Below are 25,826 nucleotides of genomic sequence, written 5' to 3'. Positions count from 1 at the left end.
ATTAACTGGGCGAGGTGGTGCGTGCCTGTAAGCCCAGCTACTTGGGAGGCGGAGGCAGGAGAATCACTTGAACCCAGGAGGCAGAGGTTGCAGTGTGCCAAAATCATGCCGCTGCACTCCAGCCTGGGCAACAGAGGGAGACTCCATCTCAAAAAAAAAAAAGACAATATAAATATAAAATTTTATCTAATAAGCAATCCTGAAAAAATGAAAATTGCTCACTTGTTAAGACTAACACCTAGTTGGTGGTTCTAGTATTTATGATTAAATGAAATATGTGAAAATGCCGATATGCCACATAAATGTTAATTATTAAGATAAACGTAGGTGGCATAAAATTTCTTAGTAGAGTAGGCAGCCAAGCTACTTATGAGAGGACTGATTTAAAGTGAGCTTAAAATGATTAGTAAAGAGGAGTGATGCCAGTAAGAATGGTGAGGTAAGGACCTCTGAACACTCTCCTCCATAAAGGAACAGAGATCACTGGGAAAAATGGTCAAAAATCTTTTCCAGAACTCTGAACATTAATTAAAGGTTTGCAACAATCTAGGGAGTATTTGTTCAAGAAAAATGGTTGAATCTCAGGAAGCTTTAACTTGCCTTAGTCCCTGCCCCTTCCCCCTAGCCCTACGGTAGCTTTAAAAATCAATTTCCCACAATCACAGTGAAAACCAACAGCCCAGCAGCCTCTGGACAGGGCAGAATGGGGTTGGAGCTCCTCCAAAACTCCATTCTCAGATAACTGTCATCCATTAACCTGTCTGGCAGTTCCCTGGAGAATCCTACTCAAATCAAGGCTTGTCTTGCTTTGACCTGACTCAGAACTCATACAGTGTAAACCACCTTTTTCCCTGACAGCATTTACTGAAAACAATCAGCAGCAATTGTTAAATGTTACAGCTGCCTGAGGTGGTGGTAACATTTGGTGCAATAACAAGCTGGCCAAAAGTTTAATTGGGAAAATTGGGGAATGAGACATCACAGGGGACTTTGCAAATCTCTGATGACATTCTTAGGCATCCAAAAGTCCACACACGTGTAGCACTGTGCATGTGCCGAGGATAGACTTGAGAAGCCTGTAAGCTGCCACCTATGGCTAACCTTGAGGCTCTGGCAAAACAGAAAGTGAAGTGGAATTCTAAACTGCCTGGCTGAGTGTTGAAGGCATGACCCAACACACAGAGCCCCTCAGTAGGGGCTGTGAAACTTATGGGTTCCAGGCATTTAAGGAAATCTCTGTCCAATCATTAGTTGACCACTAAGACCACTGAGCAGAGGCTTTAGTGGCCACACATGATAAAGAATACAAAATTTAAACAAATAGTTTAGAAAAGTGACTAAACAAAAACAATAACAAATCCTGGCAGGGTTGGGGTGGATCTGATTGTTACAGCTGCCTCATTATATTGTTTAAAATATCCATGCTGGGTGCAGTGGCTCATGCTTGTAATCCCAGCACTTTGGGAGGCTGAGGCAGGCGGACTGCTTGAGTCCAGAAGTTCAAGACAAGCCTGGCCAACGTGGTGAAACCACATCTTTACAAAAAAATACAAAAATTAGCCAGGAGTGGTGGTGCATGCCTTTAGTCCAGCTAGCTACTTGGGAGGCTGAGGTGGGTGGGAGGATTGCTTAAGCCAGGAAGTCAGGGAGTTTGAGGCTACAGTGAGCCAAGATCATACCACTGCACTCCAGCCTGAGTGACAGAGCAAGACTCCATCTCAAAAAAAAAAAAAAATCCAGTTGTCAACAAAATTATGAGTCATGCAAAGAAACAAAACAAAAAAGTATGGCCCATACACAGGGGAAAAAAAATCAGCCAACAGAATCTGTCCCTGAGAAAGTCCAGACATTGGACTTACTAGAACAAGACTTTATTTATTTATTTATTTATTTATTTTTGAGACAGAGTCTCGCTCTGTTGCCCAGGCTGGAGTGCAGTGGCGTGATCTCGGCTCACTGCAACCTCTGCCTCCTGGGTTCACGCCATTCTCCTGCCTCAGCCTCCGGAGTAACCAGGACTACAGGCGCCCGCCACCACGCCCGGCTAATTTTTTGTATTTTTAGTACAGACGGGGTTTCACTGTGTTAGCCAGGATGGTCTGGATCTCCTGACCTCGTGATCCACCCGCCTTGGCCTCCCAAAGTGCTGGGATTACAGGCGTGAGCCACCGCGCCCGGCTAGAACAAGACTTTAAATCAGCTGTTTTAAATATGTTCAAAGAACTAAAGAAAATCATACCTAAAGATCTAAAATATGAGTCCAATGACTTGCCAAACAGAGAATATCAACAGACGGAAAAAAAAAAAAAAAAAAAAAAGCGAATAGAAATTCTAGAGTTAAAAAGTATAACAAAAATGAAAAGTAAATTTGAGGTGGCAAAGAAAGAGTCAACAAATTTGAAGACAAGGTTAATTGAGATGATCCAGTCTAAGGAAGATAAAGACAAAAGAATGAAGAAAAATGAACAGAGCTTCAGATACTTGTGACACCATCAAGCACAACACACACATACCGGAAGTCCAGAAGGAAAGGACAGAAAGGAAGAGGCAGAAAGAACATTTGAATAAATATTGGCTAAAAATGACCCATATTTGATGAAAGACACTACACATCTAAGAAACTCAATACAAGTAGAATAAAGTGAAAGAGATCCAAAACCAGACAAATCATAATCAAACTATCAAAAGTGAAAAAAAGAAGATCTTGAAAGAAGCCAGAGAGCTATTCATCGTGTACAGATCCTTGATGAGATTAGCAGCTGCTTTCTCGTCAGAAACAAAAGACAAAAGGCAGTGTGATGACATATTCAAAGTGCTGAGAGAAAAAAGACTGCCAACCAGGAATTCTATACCCAATGAAAGTATTCTTCAAAAATGAGGAGAAATCATCACATTCTCAGAATGAAACAAAATAAAACAGAATTTGTCATTAGCAGACCTACACTATAAATAATACTAAAAGGAGTCCTGTGGGCTGAAAGGAAAGGGCACTAGGGTAACTCAAGTCCACATAAAGAGTTAAACAGCATTGGTAAAGGTAACTATATAAGAAAAACATTATAAAAGTGTTTTTTATTTGTAACTGTTCCCCCCTGTTATTTAAAATACAAAGTAATGATTATAAATCAGTGTTGATGGGCATACAATGTATAGATGTAATTTGCATGACAATATAGAACTAAGAAGGGATAGTCAGTAGAACTATACAATAGCAAAGTTTTTATAAACTGTCAAAGTTAAATTGGTATCAATGAGAACTAGGCTGTTATAAGTTAATATCTTAATTGTAATCTCCAAGGGGAGTGAGGTTATGCAACATGATGGAGAAGAAAGCTCTAGGGGTCAGTCCCTCAACCCAAATAACTAGTAAACTAGAAAAAAAGATCAGAATTCACTATTTTGGAACCTGGCAACTTGATTGAACACCTGTAATAACCTAGGAAGTGCTTGATGATGGGAGAGACTGATGATCTTTAGGAAGGGAATGATGTGCATGAACTGGCTACCATTTCCCTTTTCTCATCCCTGCTGTAGCTATTGGGATAGCAGCCCACATTCCAGGAGCAGCTGGCTGGTGCTAGGGCAGACAGTGAAGACCTCGTCCTCCAAAAATTGGGGGTTGCATGCTTTGGTCAACCAGGCAGATTCCTGTAGGAGCAGTGCAGACACTGCCTTGGTTTCAGCTCTCTTAGGCTACAGTGGGTTTCTCCCAATTATCAGAAGTTTAAGGGACAGACACACCTTCCCCCTCCTCGTTTCTTGAATCAGACATTTAAGGAAATCCTTCTTAGGTCATTGGCTGACCACAGAGATAATAGACAGAAACTTCAGTGACCACACACAACAAGGTATACATACTTTACACAAATAGTTCAGAAAAGGCACAAATGAATAGCTGAGATCCTTAATAAGCAAAGAACAGGAATCCCTGAGGGGTGACAGGATCTGACCTCCATGCAGTTACCACATTATAATATCCCTAATAACTAGTCCTCAACAAAAAACTACGAAGTATACAAAGAAACAAGAAAGTATGGCCTATTTACCAGAAAAGAGAAATTTGGCAAAAACCGTCACTAAGGAAGCCAAGACATTGGAATTACTAGTCAAAGATGTTAAATCAACTTCTCTAAATATGCACAATGAGCTCACTTAAACCATATATAAGAAACTAATGGAAATCAGGAAAATAATATATGAACAAAATGAGAATATCAATAAAGCAATAGAAATGATAAAAAAGAATCCAGTAGAAATTCTGGAGCTGAAATGAAAAAACTAACTAGAAGGGTCAACCACAGATTTGAGCTGGCAGAAGAATCAGTGAACGTGAAGATAAGGTAATTGAAATTATCCAGCCTGAGCAGAAAGAAAAAATAATTAAAAAAAAAATGAACAAAGTCTGAGGGACCTGTAGGACACCATCAAGTGTACCAACACATATATCATGGGAGTCTAAGGAGGAAATGAGACCAAAAGTGGCAGAAAATTTTTTGAAGAAATAATGGTTAAAACCTTCCAAAAATCTGATGAAAGACATGAACATATACATCCAAGAAGTTCCACGAACTCCAAGCTGAATAAACTCTAAGAGATTCACACTGAGACACGTTGTAGTCAAAGTGTTGAAACCCAAGGACAAAGAGAGAATCTGGAAAGCAGCAATAGAGAAGCAGCTTAATAAGATTAATAGTTGATTTCTCATCAGAAATTTGGGAGACCAGAAGGCAGTGGATGTCACATTTGAAGTCCTGAAGGGGGAAAAAAAAATTGTCAACCAAAAATTCTATGTCCTTCACAAATAAAGTAGAAAGTAAGACATTTCCAAATAGATAAAAGCTGAGGGAGTTCATAATCAGTAGACTTACCCTGTAAGAAAAGCTAAAATGAAAGGTAGTAGACAATAACTCAAAGCCATGAGAAGAAATAAAAAACAACGGTAAAGGTAACTAGACAGATAAATATAAAAGCCAGCATTATGGTAATTTTGTTTTTTTTTTAAACCCTATATAATTTAAGTCTGTATTAACAGGTACACAATGTATAAAGATGCAGTCTACAACAATATAAAGAAGAAGAGACAGAAATACATAGTAGCAGAGTGTATATTATTGAAAAGAGGTTGGCTTTATTCATAAAGCCAGGTTCTTTTAAGCTTAAGATGCTAACTGAGGTAACCAGTAGCTGGGTTAACCAAGGTAACCACTGAGAAAACAACTTAAAAATACACAGAAAAAGAAAGAATGGAATTAAACTAGTATACTACAAAAAATCAGCTAAATACAAAAAAACAGGAATTGAGAAACAAAAAAGCATAAAACATAGAAAATGACAGTTGTTCCTTATTAGTAATTACATTCATAGAAGTGGATTAAGCACTGCAATTGAAAAGCAGAGATAAGAAGAATGGATTAAAAAAACATGATCCAACTCTATGAGGTCTATAAGATATTTAATTTAGATACAAAGACACTAAGGTTGAAAGTAAAAGGACAATGAAAGATATCCTATGCAAAAGAGCTGGTGGGTGGGGAGCTGTATTATTGTCAGACAAAACAGACTGTAAGCCAAGAAAGATTACAAAACACAAAGTACATTACCTATTGGTAAGAAGTTTAATTGATCAAGAAGACATAATAATTATTGACATATATACTTAAGTACAGAGTCTCAAAATACATGAAGCAGAAATTGACAGAACTGAAGGGAGAAATAAATAATTCAACAATAATAGCTGGAGACTTTAATATGCCACTTTGAATAATAAATAAACAATAAAACAGAAGCTCAACAAGGAAACAGAAGACTTGAATAATACCATAAATCCACTAGACCCAACACACATCTATAGAATGCTTCACATTCTTCTCAAGCACACATTAAACATTCTCCAGGATAGACCAAATGTTAAGCCACAAAATAAGTCTCAAGTTTCAAAAGACTGAAATCATACAATGTATGTTTTACAACAATAGAATGAAACTAGAATAAGCAGAGAAGAGAATTTAGGAAATACATATATGTGGAAATTAATGCGCTCCGAAATAACCAATGGATCAAAGAAGAAATCACAAGGGAAATTAGAAAATATTTTGAGATGATGAAAACAAAAACAAATCATATCAAAATTTATAGGATATGCCTAAAGCAGTGCTTTATTAAAAAAGATCTCAAATCAATAGCTTAAACTTCACCTTAAAAAAGTAGAAAAAGAGCAAACAAAAACCAAAGCCAATAGAGGGAAAAAAAAAAAATGAAACTGAGATTAGAAAACCAATAGAGGCCAGACGCGGTAGCTCACACCTATCTCAGCACTTTGGGAGGCTGAGGCGGGCAGATCACTTGAGGTCAGGAGTTGGAAAGCAGCCTGGCCAACATGGTGAAACCCCGTCTCTACTAAAAATACAAAAATTAGCCGGGTGTGGTGGTGCACACCTATAATCCCAGCTACTGGGGAGGCTGAGGTAGGAGAAGCGCTTGAACCTGGGAGGCAGAGGTTGCAGTGAGCCAAGATCACGGCACTGCACTCCAGCCCAGGAGACAGAGTGAGTGAGACTCTGACTCAAAAAAAAGACAAAGAAAACCAATAGAGAAAAAACAATAAACCAAAGTAAATTCTTTGAAAAGATTAACAAAATTGACTGGGTGTGGTGGCTCATGCCTATAATCCCAGCAACTGTGGGAGGCCGAGGAGGGCAGATCGCTTGAGCTCAGGAGTTTGAGACTAGCCTGGGCAGCATGATAAGACCATGTCTCCACAAAAAAATTTTAAAAATTAGCTGGGTGTGGTAGTGTACATCTGTAGTCCCAGCTACTCAGGAGGCTGAGGTGGGAGAATCACTTGAGCCTGGGAGGTGGAGGCTGCAGTGAGCTGAGATTGCGCCACTGCACTCCAACCTGGGTGATAGAGCAAGAACCTGTCTCAAAAAAAAAAAAAAAAAAAAAAAAAAAAGATTAACAAAATTGACAAACCTTTAGCTAGACTGAAGGAAAAAAGAGGGAAGAAGACTCAAATTACTAAATCAGGAAAGAAAGACGGTACATTACTACTAATCTTACAGAATCTCCCTTTCCTTTTTCCTAGCTATTCTGAAATGTGGTACCTTTGTTCTTCTTGAAGTTGTCAAGTTTATCCTCTAGACCATCCACAGCTGACACAGAATGGCTTCTAGGCAACCCCCGCTTTAGTGATCTCTTTGAAGGGGAAAGCAATTCCTGGTTGAAAAGATTTCTTCGAACTTTGGTCACTTCTGAAAGCATCAAAAATTAAAAGAAAAAGAAAAACCCAAAGATTATCATCAATAAATGCCGTATCTGAGAAAAGATAACCAAAACAGAGAAGCTCCTTGAGGAAACTACAGATTGCTATTGTCACATATGCTAATAAGGTTTCCTTAAATAGCATATTCCCATAATGCATTAAAAATATTTACTTTTGCAAATTAAAAAAAATTTTATATGTTATTTTGCATGAGGTAGGGGTCCAATGTCATTCTTTTGCATGTGGATATCCAGTTGTCTCAGCATCATTTGTGCAAAAGACTATTCATTCTCCATCAAATTGTCTTGGTACCCTGAATATCAGTTGACCATAATAAATGCTAGTGCTAATTTCTTTTTTAAAGGCTAGATAGAATTCAGCAGTGAAAACTTCTAGTCCTGGGCATTTCTTTGTGAGTAGTTTTTTGATAACTAATTCAAACTTTTTACTTGTTATAGATCTATTCTGATTTTCTATTTCTTCTTGAGTCTGTTTTTAGTAGTTTGTATCTTTCTAGGAGTCTGTCCATTTCATCTAGGTTATACAATTTGTTGGTATACAGTGGTTTGTAGTATTCCATTACGAATTCAATTTAAATCTAACTTTTCAGGAACACAAGGAAGGCCCCCACCACTTATTGAGTTAGAAGCTACTCAATGTAAGATGGACATAATTCTTAAGTAAGAGGATGGCTAACATAGGTCATCGTCCTTTTAATATATCCCATGTTATGATTATTTTTCTCACTTTGGACATTTTTGCTGCTGTGTATTCAGCTCAGCATTGAGCAAAGAATTGTTCAATTCTATAATTTCTTTCTTCTTCTTCTGACTACTTTACTAAGCTGCTGGGACATTTTAAATTTTATTCTTGACTCCAAAGCATGAAAGTTCTCATCATCTAGACTCAAAGTTAGAAAAAAATAGCTGAAAAGTCAAGAAGTACGTGGCAAAGCCAGCAAGACAATACCTTAATCTTAAGATAGTCTGGTGGAAGTGATCCAAAAATTCACCAAGGGTGAATTCTTCAAAGATTAATCATTTAAACCCAAACCAAATAATCTAGGATCCACAAACTGGGAGCAACCCTTGTGTTTACCCATCAATGACATAAAGGTTCACATTAAGGTTATTAAGGACATCAATAACACACACCAAAGTTTTAAAAATTGTTTCCTTATCTCCATTATAAGAGTTCCTGTTACCTAACTTAGGCTGTTGGTGAAATTGATTTATGACCTGAAAGCCAAATTTGGTTTGTTATTCTCTATTTTCCCAATGTTTTGAAAAGCTTAATTTCTATAGCAAGTTTCAAATAATAATAAAATTAAACATACGCCCATCACTAAAGTTCACCAACTGACAATATTTGTTTTCTCCTTCCTTCTCTCTGTATGTACGTTATTCCCCTAAACACTGGAGAGTAAATTGCAAACAACTGTTCACTTCCTAAAGGTCAGCATGTATCTCCTAAAAACAAGGACATTCTCCTCCATAACCCCAACGCCATTATTACACTCAAAATATCTTTAGCATTGATACAATATTATCTAGCATACACCGCTTCTTCAAATTTCTCTAGTTGTCTCAGTAATATCCTTTCTAGTATTTTTTTCCCTAAATTTAAGATCCAAGCAGGGATCATGGAATGCATTTAGCTATCATGCTTAAACTCCATTCATCTGAAACAGTCCCACTGCCTCTTTTCTTTTTCCTTTCTTCCAGCTTTCATGATGTTTTTTTTAATTTTGTTTTTGTTTTTAAAGATTTCAGACCAGTTATTTTGTAAAATACAATATTTTGAGACTATTCCTAGGGGACTATGTCCATGGTATTTGGACATATTTTATTAGCCAACAATCATACAAAGCCTTAATTTACACCTGTAAGCAGCTGCTTAAATACATACAATAAAAATAAAGTTGTCATGCTAGTGAATAAATACATACACTGAGAAAACAGTATACCTTGCACTGTATCTTTCACTGGCTGGGAAGGCTGCTGAGGAGCAGGGTGAGAGTTCTCCTGAAACATGAGAAAATCCAGAAAGAAAATTTAAATAGGCATTCATTGAAATAAAAGAATAAAGATTTCACATGAACTCTTTGACTCTTGTAATTCATTTATAGGGATCCATAATAGAAATAATAAAATGTACAACAGAAATGTTCCAAAAACACTCAATGCTGCACTATAGTAATAACACAAAATAAAAAACACTATAAATGCCCATAAAGAGTGAAACAGTTAAATAAATTACATACCCATCCAATGCAGACATTACAAGAGTAAGGAAGGAAGACCTCTCTATATATGGTTGAGCATCCCTAATCTGAAAATCCAATATGCTCCAAAATCCAAAACTTCATGAGTGCCAACACAACACTCAAAGGAAACACTCAGTGGAGCATTTTGGACTTCTGGATGTGGGGTGCTAACCAGTAAGTACATGTAATGCAAATGTTCCAAAATCCAAAAACATCTAAGAATGGAAACACTTCTGCTCCTAAGCATTTTGGGTAAGAGATACTCAACTTGTACTAACATAGAGATCTGTGATAGGGAGGAAAAAGGAAAATATTAAGTATTCTAAGTTATATCATTTATATATATGTATATAACGGATCTGCATAAATCTTTGGTGTTATTGGTGCATATAGAAAAGGGCCTGGAAATATACACAACAAACTATCATCAGTGATTACTTCTGATGAATGGATGGAGAAGGAACACCCTAACTTTTAACTTTATATGTTTTAACTTTTTAACGATAATCATGCATACCTTTTATACCTAATAAGGGAAAAGCCATATACATTAATTAGAGGGAGGCTATACTCTCAGAAACATTTCTTTATCAGACTGCTATGTACTTGCTATTACAATAGAAGATTCAAGAGTCTAAACCCCAGATGCATCAAAACAAGGAAACTGTTTTTTTAAAGATTTTTTGTTTTTTCAATTCATCATAATAATTGAAGAAGCCACCACATATGGGCAGAAACTTAACAAATGGTCTCAGTGATATAACCAAGGTCTTGCTGATAAGACATGAGATGTGATCATTCTTACTTATATTGATTAATAACTCTTATAAAGAGATAAACTATAATTGTAAAAATATGTCACACATCCGGCTGGGCGCAGAGGCTCACGCCTGTAATCCTAGCACTTTGGGAGGTCGAGTGGGCGGATCACGAGGTCAGGAGATTGAGACCATCCTGGCTAACATGGTGAAACTCCATCTTTACTAAAAAATACAAAAAGTAGCCAGGCGTGGTGGTGCACGCCAGCTACTCGGGAGGCTGAGGCAGGAGAATGGCGTGAACCCGGGAGGTGGAGCTTGCAGTGAGTCGAGATCGTGCCACTGCACTCCAGCCTGGGCGACAGAGGGAGACTCCATCTCAAAAAATAAAAATAAAAATAAAAGTCATACATCCAATTTCCTATCCAGGGTTCAGTAAACTACAGTGTACAGACCAAATCTGGGCCACCTCTTGTTTTTGAAAATAAAGTTTTTACTGAAACATAGTCATGCTCGTTTCTTTCCATAATGCCTGTAGCTGCTTTTCCACTATAGCAGAACTGAATAGATGTTGCAGAGACGTATGGCCTGCAAAGGCTAAAACATCTACTATCTGGCCCTTTACAGAAAAAGTTTGTCAACCCTTGTTAATCCATGTAATTGAATGAAAAACTAGGAGAGTATGTCCTGAAGGTATTAAGGCAGGATCAAATATTTTTTTTTTAATCCTTGTGATCTTCTGGAGTTAAGATACGTAAAAGAAATTAATATACATTAATGTAATTAATACTATATGTCTACGCTTAAGTTGTAAGTTCACTGCTTCCCGAGTTAACTATATTGGTCCTTCAGAGAACTGAGATTTATTCTTTTAAAAATGTAACATCTGGTCCTTTCAGTTAAACAATTGTCACTTATCTATGGTACCAACTTTGACATGAAAAAACATTACTAACCACAATCAAATCCTGACCTCAATTTTTTTTTTTTTTTTTTTTTGACAGAGTCTCTCTCTGTAACCCAGGCTGGAGTGCAGTGGCTTCATCATAGTTCATTGCAGCCTCAAACTCCCAGGCTCAAGCGATCCTCCTACCTCAGCCTCCCGAGTAGCTGGGACTACAGGAGTGCACCACCATACCTAATTTTTAAATTTTTTGTAGAGCCAAGGTCTCACTATGTTGCTTAGGCTGGTCTCCAACTCCTGGGCTCAAGTGATTCCTCCTGCCTTGGCCTCCCAAAGTTCTGGCATTATAGGCATGAACCACTGCGCCCAGGCGTTAATTCTGATCTTAGAGAAGAAAACTGTCTTGTCCAATCTAAAACCAAAGTTTCAAAGTGTGCTAGAAAGATCTGCAAATCATTGTAAAATCTAGTGAGAATAAAGGCCTGGCAACTTTTGGCCATTCACTTTCGGATTTTCCAATCTTCAATCAGGATTGTGAGATATATAAGATATGCATTTTATTCACAAAGTATAAGAAAGTGAACACCATTAACCATTTAAAAGAAATCCCACCTCCAATTCCAAAGGACTGCTACAAATATCTAGAAACAGAACAAACCACTATTATAATAATTAATGCTTCTAAAGATAGTTCTTATTGAATTTTAACTCTTCTCAGATAGTTCATGCAGTTGAAAAGTTTCATTGTGTTTTTAGTCTCCCTTTTTTCCTCAGCGAGACATTAATTCTACTTAGTAAACAGATTCCAGCTAGGTTTATTTTTTTTTCAACCAATAAAAACCTCAAGTCCTTATATCAACTGCCATGAAAAAAACAACAATAGTACCCCATTATCTGTGATTTCACTTTCCATGGTTTCAGTTTCCCATAGTCAACCATGGCCCCAAAATGGGTGAATATAGTACAATAAGATATTTTGAGAGGAAGACCACATTCACATAACTTTTATTATATTATATTGCTATAATTGTTCTATTTTACTATTGTTGTTAATCTCTTACTGTGCCTAATTTACAAATTGAACTTATGCATGCATAGGAAAAAACAGTACTATATATAGGGTTCAGTACTATCTGTGGTTTCAGGCATCCACTGGGGGTCTTGGAACATATCTTCTGCAGATAAGGGGCGACTACTCCACCTCCTGGCTCCATGATGGTCATCATCTTTTTCAAAAAACTTGTTATTCATTCATTTATTCATTCATTAATTCACTTAAGAGATGAAGTCTTGCTTTGTCACCCAGGCTGGAGTGCAGTGGCACGACCATAGCTCATTGCAGCTTTGACCTACTGGGCTCAAGCAATCTCCCTGCCTTAGACTCCTGAATAGCTGGGCCTACAGGCATGTGCCACCATGCCTGGCTAATTTTTTCTTAATTTTATTTTTTGTAGAGACAGGGTCTCGCTATGTTGTCCAGGCTGGTCTCAGACTGTTGGTGTCAAACTATCCTCCCTCCTCTGACTCCCAAAGTGCTGGGATTATAGGTGTGAGCCGCTGTGCCTGGCCTAAATTTGTTATTAAAGTAAAATATAACATATTGAAAAGCACCTTCTGGTATGCAACCAAAGTCCACTTACAATTGTATATTCTCTTCCAGTGACTGCTTTGCTTATTTTAGTTATTGTTTTATGAGTTTTCCTATCTACATTAAAGATTTTGAATTAATTCATTCCTAACTTTTACTTGCCATTTTTCTTCACATTACCTCTAACTATCACACTCTTGAGTAAAATTGTTAATCTCTTGACAAGTTTATATTTCTTTATTCCTTGGATTATAGTTTTATACACATTCATAAAAATATTTAATATTATTTCTGTATCCTCCAAAGTTCATTTTCCTAAAAGTAGGGACACTGCCTTTTTGTTCTTATTTACTGTGTCATCTCAAGCTGGAAGGTTTACTTACTTTTTTCGTAGCTCTCTTTGACACTTTAGGAATTTCAATTTGTCGAAGATTCTGTGAAACCTCAGCAATGCTTTTATGTCTTATTAATGCATTTTTCCTTTTAAAAATAGAAATAGTTAATACATACTAGATAGAGGTTATATATAGTTAAATTCAAATGGAACTGGAGTCTAAGTAAAATAAAATATGATTTAAATAAAAGCCAGTTATCTTAAGGTTGTTCTGGGTTTATAATAAAACAAGTCACCCCAGAATTTTCAAAAGTAACAAATTCAACCAGTTATGAACAACGAAAAGCATCAAGGGAAATTTAAAAAGCTGAAACTCTAAGCTTATTTCATAGAAGGCCTAGTTTCTGGAGACCTCATGTGGACAGTAAAGAAGACTTTGTGAAATAGGAAATAAACACTATACAGTCATGCAATGTTTCCTTCAATGACGAACTGCATATATGACAATGGTCCCATAGGTTATAATGGAGCCTATATAGAAACCTAATAAATGACACTTGATATTGGCATTACAGATCAAGTAGGGGAAATGACTGCTATTCAGTAACAATGCTGGAACATTAGCTTTTCCATATGAAAAAATATACATAAATGAAAAAATATATACTATCTAGGTTTTGGTAGGCACACTCTGATGTTAGTACAACAAAAATTGCCTAACAATGCATTTCTCAGGATGTATCCCTGTTGTTAAGCAAAACATGACTATATATTTCCTAGATAATATAAAGATTGTCAGATGCTCCTATTAGGAGCTCTAATAGTTGGCTTCTCTGATTCAGACATAAGGGCAGCTATTAGTTCAACAAATTATATGGACAAAGATGACTGGACTGTAGTTTAAACACATCTTTTATCAGAACTATAACAGTGCAAATAATTCCTTTGATTCTTTGACCTCTTACCTTCTCTTCTTGGCTGATCTGGTACGAAGTTCCTGCAGTTCATCAGATTCAGGGCTGCCTGACACTGATCTACGAGCACTTGACAAAAAAGGCACAGAAAGAAGTGGTGATTTGTTCTCTTGTGTCATGGAGTCATCACTGAAAAAATCTGTAGGAAGGACACCAGCCAGCTTCTGAGGAATCACAAACCCTAGGCTGTTGTAAAGATTTCCAAGTGTCTTTGGGATAGAGTCAATATACCTGTGGAACAGATTGATCGAATACGGAACAGTTACCATCTTACCCTCTCTATTCCCTCCCTCACCCAGCCTAAAAAGTAGTCCTTACAACTCCAAAATTCAGAGACAACACCATACATAGGTTTTGACAAAACAATTTTAAAGTTAAGTTAGTAACCATCAAACTTACAATCTCAAAATTTCCTCCAGAAACTCTGCTAGGTACGCTGAATCCTCAGTTAAACACACCATGCGCAGCAAATCTGTCACCTGAAGGAGATTTTAGAACGTTACTATATAGATGCCCTCTGCAGGGAAGCTGAAAGCATCTAGGGCGTATTTCAATGGCACGAAACTATATACTTGCCTCCTCCACTACTTGTTCCATATCATCTGTACTTTCATTTATTGAAGGGCATTGCAGACACATCTCCAAACGAAGAAATACCTGAAGCTGGCACCTTGAGAGAAAAAAATACTTGGTCATATCTACTTTGGATGTCACTAAACAAAAAGCTCCTTCCGTAAGCATAGATCTATTTATATAAGACACAACAACCAAAAAGGAGGAGAGCCAGTGCCTTTTCTAAAAACTGATGTAGTTATTAGATAAATAGGTGATTCAAGCTGCATATTATAACATAAAAAAGAATTGGCTACAAAAGCATCTTCATGCAGTTGGTAATCTTTTTTTTTTTTTTTTTTTTTTTCCTGAGACAGGGTCTTGCTCTGTTGCCCAGGCTAGAGTGCAGTACTGGGATCATAGCTCACAGTAGTCTTGAGCTCCTGGGCTCAAACAATCCTCCAGCTTCAGCATCCCAAGTAGCTAGGGCTACAGGTGTACACCACCATGCTCACCTAATTAAAAAAAATTTTTTGGTAGACACGGTCTCACTATATTGCCCAGGATGGCCTCAAATTCCTGGCTGCAAGCAATCCTCCTGCTTTGGCTTCCCAAGGTACTAGGATTACAGGCATGAGCCACCATGTCACGAACAATCTATTTTAAACTGATACGAGCTAATCTCACAGCTTTTAGAGTGATGATTTTTTAAAAAATGGTAGTTACTTACTCTCTAACTTTGTCTTCCTTATCCAGTTTTTTTCCTAGATTCTGTCGAAGACTTTTACTAGTTTTTAAGAGACTACTTTTTACTTGATTCAGGCAGTTCACCTAAAAATACAAAATTATTACATAGGAGAATAGTGTTACTTGTCATTATTTCTAATTTCTTTCACAGTTGACTAAAGGGAAATATATTCCCTTATAAACTTCTCTATTCTTTCATTTGAATGAAAAAGTGACGTGAATATTCTTCTTTTATATCTTTAAAAAGAACATGGTAAAAGTTATTTTGAGAGCTAGTGGGCATGGATAAAACAAGCCTGCCCTAAATAAAGTGTCTTAAAAGAAACGTTCCATAAAGCAGTGCTTAAGAAACCTAAGTATCATAAACAAATCCTCCTGTTTGCTTTAGAGAAGGAGCTCCGTGATGGCCACTGAACATGAATAAAACAACAACACGGTCTAAAACAGTGGTTTGCAACACTCCCAGTGCAAAAGGATTATCCAGGGGGCTTTTTAAAAGCGCCAACCCCAGAGATCTGTTTCAGTTCATCTGGAGAGAGCAAGGCATATATATATATTCTTTGGAGATGGAGTCTCGCTCCGTTGCCCAGGCTGAAGTGCAATGGTACGATCTTGCCTCACTGCAACCTCCACCTCCCAGGTTAAAACGATTCTCCTGCCTCAGCCTCCCGAGTAGCTGGGATTACAGGCACCTACCACCACATCCAGCTGATTTTTGTATTTTTAGTAGAGACGGGGTTTCACCATGTTGGCCAGGCTGGTCTCAAACTCCTGACCTCGTGATCCACCCACCCTGGCCTCCCAAAGTGCTGGTATTACAGGCGTGAGCCACCACGGTTAGTTGGCATATATATATTTTTTAAATGCTGTAAGTGATTCTAAAGTATAGCCAGGGTTAAAAACCACTGGCTTAATCATGCAGCTAACATATAGCTCACATGAGGAAAGGCTTTTCATTAGGAGAGAATTATATGTAATTATCCCCGCTCACCCCATCTCTTTGATTTCTGCCTTACCAGTTCACCATATCCACCTTCTGAGATCTGGAACTGTACTTACTCCCTTACTTATCTTACCATTTTTGAATCACATATGACATAACAGACATTTTCCAAGACACTAACCAAATCCACCACCAACCAACCAACCAACCACTACATCCATGACAAACAACAATATCTGGACCCTCTTACTTCTAATTCCTTGGTGCCTTTTGATTTTAGGAACATTTTAACGGTTGAGATCATGTTTCGAGCACATGCATACAACATGATTTCTCCTGTGGCCACAGTCTTTTGGTAATTTTCACGTATATATGATAGCAGCTCTTCCTCAGTTTTAAAATCTGAGAAAAAAATAAAATAAAATGGATTAATCATATCTTGCTCAAGTCCTTGTATTACTTAGGCCAGTTGTTGTCCACTGGGGAAAATATTTCCTTGCAGGGAACATTTGGCCTTGTCTGGATTGTCATGACTGATGGTGGTGGGGGCGGGGGTGGCTGCTGGCCATCTAGTATGTAGGAGCCAGGGATGCTGTTAAACATCCTACAATACATAGGACAGCCCTACAACGAAGAATTATCTGGTCTAAAATGTCAATAGTCCAGAGACTGAGAAACTACAGAGATAAGTGATTAATTTTATTTCATTTTATTTGAGACAAGGTCTTACTCTGACAATCAGGCTGGAGTGCAGTGGCACAATCTCGGCTCACCACAACCTCCACCTCCCAGGCAGGCTCAAGTGATCTTCCCACCTCAGCCTCTGGAGTAGCTGGGACCACAAGCATGTGCCACCACACCTAGCTTATTTTCTGTATTTTTGGTAAAGACAGGGTTTCACCATGTTGCCCAGGCTGGTCTTGAACTCCTGAACTCAAGCCATCTATCCGCCCTGGCCTCCCAAAGTGCTAGGATTACTGGCATGAGCCACCATGCCCAGCCAAGTGATTAATTTTAAGGCTCTGTATACCAAGTTTAAGTGTTAAAAATTTAAAGGTAGGAGGCCAGGCGTGGTGGCTCACGTCTGTAATCCTAACAGTTTGGGAGGCCGAGGTGGGTGGATCACCTGAGGTCAGGAGTTCAAGACCAGCCTGGCCAACATGGTGAAACCTCTTCTCTACTAAAAATACCAAAAATTACCCGGGCGTAGTGGCGGGCGCCTCTAATCCCAGCTACTCAGGAGGCTGAGACAGGAGAATCACTTGAACCTGGGAGGCGGAGGTTGCAGTGAGCCAAGACCGCACCATTGCACTCCAGTCTGGGCAATAAGAGTGAAACTCCGTCTCAAAACAAACAAACAAACAATTTAAAGGTAGGAAGAAATAAAACTGTCTTTGGTGATATGACATGATTAGAAAATCTGAAAGAACAAACAACAAAACTCCTGGAACTGGGCCGGGTGTGGTGGCTCACGCCTGTAATCCCAGCACTTTGGGAGGCTGAGGTGGGCAGATCACGAGGTCAGGAGATCGAGACCATCCTGGCTAACACGGTGAAACCCCATCTCTACTAAAAAAAACAAACAAACAAACAAACAAAAAACTCCTGGAACTAACAAGTGATTATAGCAAATTTGCAGGATACAAGATTAATACATAAAAGTCCATTGCTTTCCCATATGCCAGTAATGTACAAGCAAAATTTAAAATTAAAAACACATTACCATTTAAATTAGCACCCCCCCTAAATATGAAATACCCAGGTATTAAATCTAACAAAATTTGTATAAGATCTATATGCGGAAAACTACAAAATTCTGTGAACAAAATCAAAGAACTAAATAAGTGGAGAGATATTCCATGTTCACAGCAAGAAAGACTCAATACTGTCAAGATTTCAGATTCCCAATTTGATCTATAGATTCTATGTGATCCCTATCAAATAAGTTATTTTCTGCATATTGACAAACTGATTCTAAAGTTTATATGAAGAGGCGAAAGACCCAGAATAACTAACTCAATATTGAATGAGAAAAACAAAGTTTGAGGACTGATAGTACCAACCTTCAGGACTTACTATAAAGCTACAGTAATCAAGACAGTTTGTGTGATATTAGCAAAAGAATAGAGAGATCAATGTAACAGGAGAGCCTGGAAATAGACCTACATAAATATAGTAAACGGATTTTTTTTTTTTTTTTTGAGACAGAGTCTTGCTCCGTCACCCAGGCTGGAGTGCAGGGGCGCAATCTCGGCTCACTGCAACCTCTGTCTCCCGGGATCAAGCGATTCTCATGACTCAGTAACCCCAAGTAGCTGGGACTACAGGCGCCTGCCACCACGCCTGGCTAATTTTTGTATTTTTAGTAGAGACAGGGTTTCACCATGCTGGCCAGGCTGATCTCGAACTACTGACCTCGGGTGATCTGCCCGCCTCAGCCTCCCAAAGTGCTAGGATTACAGGCATGAGTCACTGCACCTGGCCTCCACTGATCTTTGACAAAGGAGCAAAGACAATACAATAGTGGAAGACTAATACAATCATCTTAGCAATAGATAAAAGCAGCAGAAAAAAATTACTAAAAATGTTGAATATTCAAACATTAATAAACTTGATGTACAGACACGTATAAAACCAGATATTCAACAATTAGAGAATACCCATTATTTTCAAGTGCACATTAGGTCAGTTTCAGCAAATATTAAAGAATCAATCTTACAGACCACATTGAGCACAGTTCAAAAATATTAAAAGCTAATTATAAAACACTCCCTTATATTATGGATGTCAGAAAATATTTATAAATAAGTATCAATGAAAATAGAAAACAGTAAATACATAATGCAGTTAGTTATACTTAAAGAGAAAATGTACAGACTTTAGACAAGTGATTATTTTTGTAAAGCAGACAAATTAAAAACTATTAACTATCTAAGGGTCCAACACGTGAAGTAATATGAGAGAGTAAACCCCAAAAATAAAGGTAGGAAGGTAATCATAAAGAACAGAAATGAATTGAAAACAAAGCAACAACAGCAATCAACAGAAACAAAAGACGGTTCTTTGAAAAGCCAAATAAGGCCAGGCGCGGTGGCTCACACTTGTAATCCCAGCACTTTAGGAGGCCGAAGCAGGCTGATCACCTGAGGTTAGGAGTTCGAAACCAGCCTGACCAATATGATAAAACCCTGTCTCTACTAAAAATACAAAAATTAGCCGGGTGTGGTGGCATGCGCCTGTAATCCCAGCTACTCGGGAGGCTGAGACAGGAGAATCGCTTGAACCCGGGAGGCAGAGGTTGCAGTGAGCCAAGATCATGCCAGTGCACTCCAGCCTGGGCAAAAAGAGCAAAACTCAGTCTCAAAAAACAACAAAAAAAGAAAAGAGGAATAAAACAGAAAACTCTATAGCAAGATTGAGCAATTAAAGAGAGAGAGATGGAAGGCATAAATATTAAAAATAGCAGGAATACAAAATACTATTAAAAGTAAGGTCTAATTTTGTTTCCATAAAGGTATCTAGTTGTTCCAGCATCATTTATTGAAAAGATTATGTCTTTCTCACGGAATTATTGGGGCATCTTTGTCAAAAATCATTTGCCCACTATTGTGCAGGTCTACTGCTAGACAGAATCTAGTCCAGAAATTATGTTCCTGCCACACTGTCTTCAGTACTGTTGTTTCAGCCTTCCCTTGCATGTATCAAGCACATTTCACACACCTTTACTAGCCCACTAAAGGTGTTCTGTCCCATTCAAACTGATTATCATCTATGGCTCTCACATTCCACAGGAAAAAAAAAAATCTGTAAAGCAGCATAAAATTTACACCTCAGAATTTTCTTTCTTTTTTTCTTTTTCTTTTGAGACAGAGTCTCGCTCTGTCTCCCAGGCTGGAGTGCAGTGGTGCAATCTCGGCTCACCACAACCTCCGCCTCCCTTATCTTTGTAGCTAGATCATAAATCTAAGAATAGCACATTATCTTATTATTTACTGTATTCACCATAACACCTTTTTGTGCATGTAGCAGATAGTCAATAAACTAAGGGTACGATTAAATTTTATTTTTAAAAAAGCGGGGTATAAAAGAGTAAATTATAGACTAAGAGGAATACCTTTAGGTTTAGAACTTCTTAGTGTTCTTCCTCTGTCTTCCAATTTATCCACTGTTCTCCCACTAGGTATCTTTTGGATTCCTTTCTCCCCAGCCACATCCGGACTGCCATCTGGATGTAACTTCTGGGCCTTCACATTCAGCCTTGCGACATTCAACATCTTTAAGGAACGGCACATGGTATTCATCTTCTGTCTCACTGGAGTACGAGGGACCCCTCCTACCAAAACAACATCAGAGGAGGGAAAGTAAATTGCCTTCCACTTCTGTGGAAAGAAGAACTACTTTAATTCAGATTACTGTGAAAGAATATCAAAATGAAGCATATCCCTCCAGAATGATTTGAATTAGGAAGTTCTTGCATCTCTTTCTGCCCACACACAGGGTAGAAAGAGAACCTTTCTTTTAACCGAAGTTTAGGAACTAAACATCTCAATGTGATTGGATTGGAACTAAACATCTCAATGGATGGTTTTCCCATAAGGCAAATGCCAAACAGACTTATTTTGGTGTTACCCAATGGCCACGAAAAATGGTGATGAAAATTTCTGAATGACAATTTAGCAATCTACATAAAGAGCCAGTTTTCATACCCTGACACAGTAACTGGTTCCTGGAAACTTCTGCTAAGGTAATTACTTAAAAAACAAATTATACGCATAATGTATACTACAGTATTATTTATAATGATGAAAACTGAAAGCAATCTAAATGTTCAACAACATGAGAATTTTGTAAATTTAGTTAAGCAATGAGATGGAATAATATCTAAAAAGGCAAGGTAGCAAAAGAAAAAATACTAATAAGCAGAACACAAAGTTGTATTTGAATTTCTATCATAATTAAAAATGAAGATGGCTTATTCATTAGACAGATAAGACTGGTTGATTTTTTAAAAATCACTATTGAACTAATGTAATTATTTTAAAATTTAAATATAAAAATTTGCCCTTCTTTATTTAGTTACCATTTCAACCTCATTTCAGGAAATGCCCATCTTTTAAAACATACAGTCTCAAAAAAGAATGCCTTAAGAAACAGCCTTTCTAGGTACATACGTTTCTTTTTGCTGTCTTCTTGATGAGCTATAGTGGATTCTTCACGAGATTTTCTCTGGTAGAGCTCGGCAAGGCAATGTATTAATTCGCCTTCAGTTTTGGAAGACTCTTCCTTATTAGCTGAGGCAGCCTGTAGTAACCTGTGAAGTCAAGATGTCTAGAATAAAACCAACATTCTAATTTTGCAAAATGCTTTAGAAATAACACCAAAATACCCACTATCCTCTAAAAAGCTAACCAAAAAGATGTCCCCACAAGATGCCTTCAAAAATATATTTTCTTAGGAGAGAAAATGTCCCTCCTCTCATTTTCGATTTGAACGAATGCAGGAACCAAAGCTGTCTTGTTCACAAAACCATTAACCATTACATATAATATTGACTTTTATTAATAGGATTCTTCATGAATTAGGATGCAAGTCTAATTATGGCAACTATTTCACTTCAAGCTTCCATAGTTATTTTTTACTCAGTTTCCATATATCAAAGTACAAAATGATGTTAACACATTGTAGTAAGTATTGCAATGACTTCGAATAATTCTTTCACATTGTAATAAACTAATTTGGGATTGATGAGAAGAGGAGGAAGTAGGGCAGGCAGGAGGGGTGATTAGTTATTAAATCCTTTTCCACCTAGAGCTAAATATCTGTCATTAAGGAAATTATGAAAATGGCACAACATTCAAAATGTGTTATTTGTATTTTAATATTTTCCATTATCTGATATAACTGATTAAAAAGTGCAAGAAAGTTACGGTGATATTAGTTGAACAGATATCACAGGGTGGAATATGTGTTGGGTCTATCAGCTTCATTCATATAGCCAATATGAAGCAGATTAATCCTCCCTAAGTGTGTGGTGCTCTGTCGCCCATCCTGGAGTGCAGTGGCGCGATCTTGGCTGGCTGCAACCTCCGCGTCCTGGATTCAAGTGAATCTTGTGCCTCAGCCTCCCAAGTAGCTGGGACTGCAGACATGTGCCACCACGCCGGGCTAATTTTTTTGTATTTTTAGTAGAGACGGGGTTTCACCATGTTGGTCAGGCTGGTCTTGAACCCCAGGCCTCAAGAGATTCACTGGCTTGGCTTCCCAAAGTACTGGGGTTACGGGTGTGAGCCACCATGCCGGGCCTGGATTTTCTATAAAGACAATCATACTATCTTCAAACTCTTCAATATTTACATCTCATAAAAATACTTAGAGATAATTTTAAAAAATAACATGGGCCACATTTGTACATTAAAAACTACAAAACACTGAGGGAGATTAAAGAGAGACCTAAATAAATGGATAGCTGCACCATGTTCATGGATCGGATGACTCAACATTGTTAAGATGTCAGTTCTTCCCAAATTTATCTATGATTCAATGCACTCCTAGAGTTTCAACAGATGTTTGTGTGCGTGGAAACTGACAAGCTGGTTCTGAAGTTTATATGAAAATGCGAAGTATCTAAAATAACCAAAAAAATTTTAAAAAAACGAAACCAAAGTTTAGAGGACTTACACTACCTGATTTAGTGACTGGTGCTATAAAGCTACAGTATATGGTATTGCTATAATGCAATATTGAAGATAATGTGGTATTAACATAGTTTCTGGACTGTATTCTGTCTAGAAATCAATCTGCACAAAGGTGGCCAGTTGATTTTTGACAAGGTACCACAGTTATTAGTGGGAAAAGATAGTCTTTTAGCAAATGGTGTTGGAACAACTGAATGGATATATGTGTGGAGAAAATAAACGTCAACCATACCTCTTAATAATAGTTTGAATTTCTGCCATATCGTTTACATTTCTAATATTGTTCGTCTTTTAATTGCTTGATCTTGCTATAGATTATTTTATTTGGCTTTTCAAAGAACCATCTTTTGTTTCTCTTGATCACTTACATTTATTTGTTTTCTATTTATTTCTGTTGTTATCTTTTGTAGGGTGGAGGTTACTTTCTTATTTACTTCTCATGTTGGATTCTTAGTAATCGGTTGTTAACTTTTTTCCTTACAAAAACGGTCTGCAAATACTTCTTTAAGTATAAATTCAGCTGCATTATTCAAGTTTGCTGTTTTCTATTTGCATTGATACTTAGTTATAAATATTTTCTCACTTTAAGGGAGTATTTATTTATATTTAACTTGACGAATTACTTTGGTAAATTTTAAAGAATTTTTGGCAGGTATATATTTATATATTGTTAACATATTATCTAGCTAACATACTCTCACAATATATATTAAGTATGAGAGTATTTTATTTTTGTAACTACTTTTTAATATTATTAGACTATACTCAGAGAATGTGGTCTGTTAAGAAAAAAATGCAGATAACTGAACGTTGATTTTAATAATCAATATTCAAGAGATATAAAAACGTTTTACCCAAATGACTCCATCAAATCGGAACTGGCACCACTGATGTTACAGAAAGGAAACCACTTTTCCACAACAGCTGGACTCCAGGGAGTGGTGTGGCCAAGCTCCTGCTGGGCCCACTCTGGAACAGGAGAAGCTATTGGAGCAAAGGAGCAGCGGCAGGAGAGGAAACAGCATGAGAACCAAAGCAGAGAATTCTAAGCACTTGCTCCTCCCCTGGACTGACTGCATCCCTCCAAAGGACATACAAAGTGCACAGTTAACATTTGTTCTCCGGCACCACAAACTGCTACAGGCCTATGTGGTAAATAAAAAATGCTACTGAAAAACATACAGACACAATTTAAAGTCTTTTGTTCTTATTACTGGCTATAAATCCTCTCATTTCTGAAATGTTCCTCTAAACAGGTTAAAAATATATATTGTTCTTCTTTTTATTTATTTATTTTTTTGAGACAGAGTTTCGCTCTTGCCCAGGCTGGAGTGCAACAGCACGATCTTGGCTCATGAGCCGCAACCTCCGCCTCCCGGGTTCAAGCAATTTTCCTTCCTCAGCCTCCTGAGTAGCTGGGATTACAGACACGTGCCACCACACCCAGCTCATTTTTTATTTTTAGTAAAGACGGGGTTTCTCCATGTTGGTCAGGCTGGTCTCGAACTCCTGACTTCAGGTGATCCGCCTGCCTTGGCCTCCCAAAGTGCTGGAATTACAGGTGTGAGCCACCGTGCCTGGTCCTGTTCTTAAAAATGGCTTTGTATGGTTGGGTACGGTGGCTCACGCCTGTAATCCCAGCATTTTGGGAGGCCGAGGTGGGTGGATCACCTGAGGTCAGGAGTTTGAGACCAGCCTGGCCAACATGGCAAAACCCCGTCTCTACTAAAAGTACAAAAATTAGCTGGGCGTGGTGGCAGGTGCCTGTATTCCTAGCTATTCGGGAGGTTCAGGCAGGAGAAGCTTGAACCCGGGAGGCTGAGGTTGCAGTGAGCCGAGATCACGCCACTGCACTCCAGCCTGGGTGACAAGAGCGAGACTCCGTCTCACACACACACACACAAAAATTGGCTTTGTACAAGAATAAATATACAGTAACAAAACTGCAGAATATCACAGTTCTGCTGCACTGAGTAGGAAAATTGGAAATAAGAAGATGTGGCTCTGTATTGGGGAGTGTGAGGGTAGAAGGCTCTCTTAAAATAAGCCTGATGGAGGAGGTGGTTGGGGGAACAGTAACAGAAATTTCAGTGAACTCTGTAATTCTGAGAGATCCATCTAAGACCCCAGACAAATGAAATGTTAGACATTAATGAAGTCTTGGGGAAAAAAACCCAAATACTTAAAATGTATTCAAACTTATTGAGACAACCAAGTTCTAGGCTTTCTATCAGTGAAAGAATTCAGAGATAAATACAATGCATACTTCGAAAGGAGCTCCCAGTATAGGAAGAGTAGATCCACTCTTGTGAAGTCATGGAGATACGTATAAATGTTAGCACATGCTAACTCCGTCTAGATGGGCAAGGAAGGTCTCATGGAGAATGCAGTATTTGGGCTAGGTACCAATGCATGAATAGGACCTCACCCAGATGGAGCATGGTGGGGAGACTGGACAATAAGCCGGCACACTGATTTATAACCTGGAAGAAACTGTGGGCCATGCTACAGCAGAGAGTACTGGTAAAATACTGCAGTTCTTCCTTTACCAGATTCCAAAATACAGTTTTCTGAGCTGCTTCCAAGACTATATAAATAGTCAAGATACAGTCTGTTCTACAATACAAAATTTTCTACAAATAGCCTACACACAATTGGTAAGTAAGGTAGTGACAGTAGTACAAAATATTACGTTGCTTTGGTTATGTGATCATTCCTAATGTGCTAATATTTTATACCACCAAGTAGCAGCTGAATTCAAAGTGCACAAACATAACTAAATACAACAAGCCAGAGGAGCGCAG

At 37.9% G+C, this 25,826-nt stretch overlaps 1 protein-coding gene across 2 annotated transcripts in view; it reads right to left on the bottom strand.

The window, feature by feature from the left end:
* Nucleotides 1-25,826, bottom strand: part of TICRR (TOPBP1 interacting checkpoint and replication regulator) — a 52,555-nt gene that overhangs the window by 11,971 nt on the left and 14,758 nt on the right. For both annotated transcript variants that reach the window (NM_152259.4, NM_001308025.1), the window contains exons 5-15: nt 23,877-24,006; nt 21,499-21,638; nt 20,442-20,660; nt 16,578-16,729; nt 15,368-15,468; nt 14,662-14,755; nt 14,485-14,564; nt 14,077-14,316; nt 13,161-13,257; nt 9,228-9,285; nt 7,104-7,250 (exon numbers count right to left, since the gene is read on the bottom strand). In NM_152259.4, coding sequence (NP_689472.3) covers nt 7,104-7,250; nt 9,228-9,285; nt 13,161-13,257; nt 14,077-14,316; nt 14,485-14,564; nt 14,662-14,755; nt 15,368-15,468; nt 16,578-16,729; nt 20,442-20,660; nt 21,499-21,638; nt 23,877-24,006 — 1,458 coding nt within the window. The remainder of the gene's footprint in view (nt 1-7,103; nt 7,251-9,227; nt 9,286-13,160; nt 13,258-14,076; nt 14,317-14,484; nt 14,565-14,661; nt 14,756-15,367; nt 15,469-16,577; nt 16,730-20,441; nt 20,661-21,498; nt 21,639-23,876; nt 24,007-25,826) is intronic.

This window comes from Homo sapiens, chromosome 15 (assembly GCF_000001405.40).
Source record: "Homo sapiens chromosome 15, GRCh38.p14 Primary Assembly".
NCBI classification, from domain to species: Eukaryota; Metazoa; Chordata; class Mammalia; order Primates; family Hominidae; genus Homo; species Homo sapiens.
Note: the sequence above shows the minus strand (reverse complement) of the source record. Positions and strands in the feature narration are given on the sequence as shown.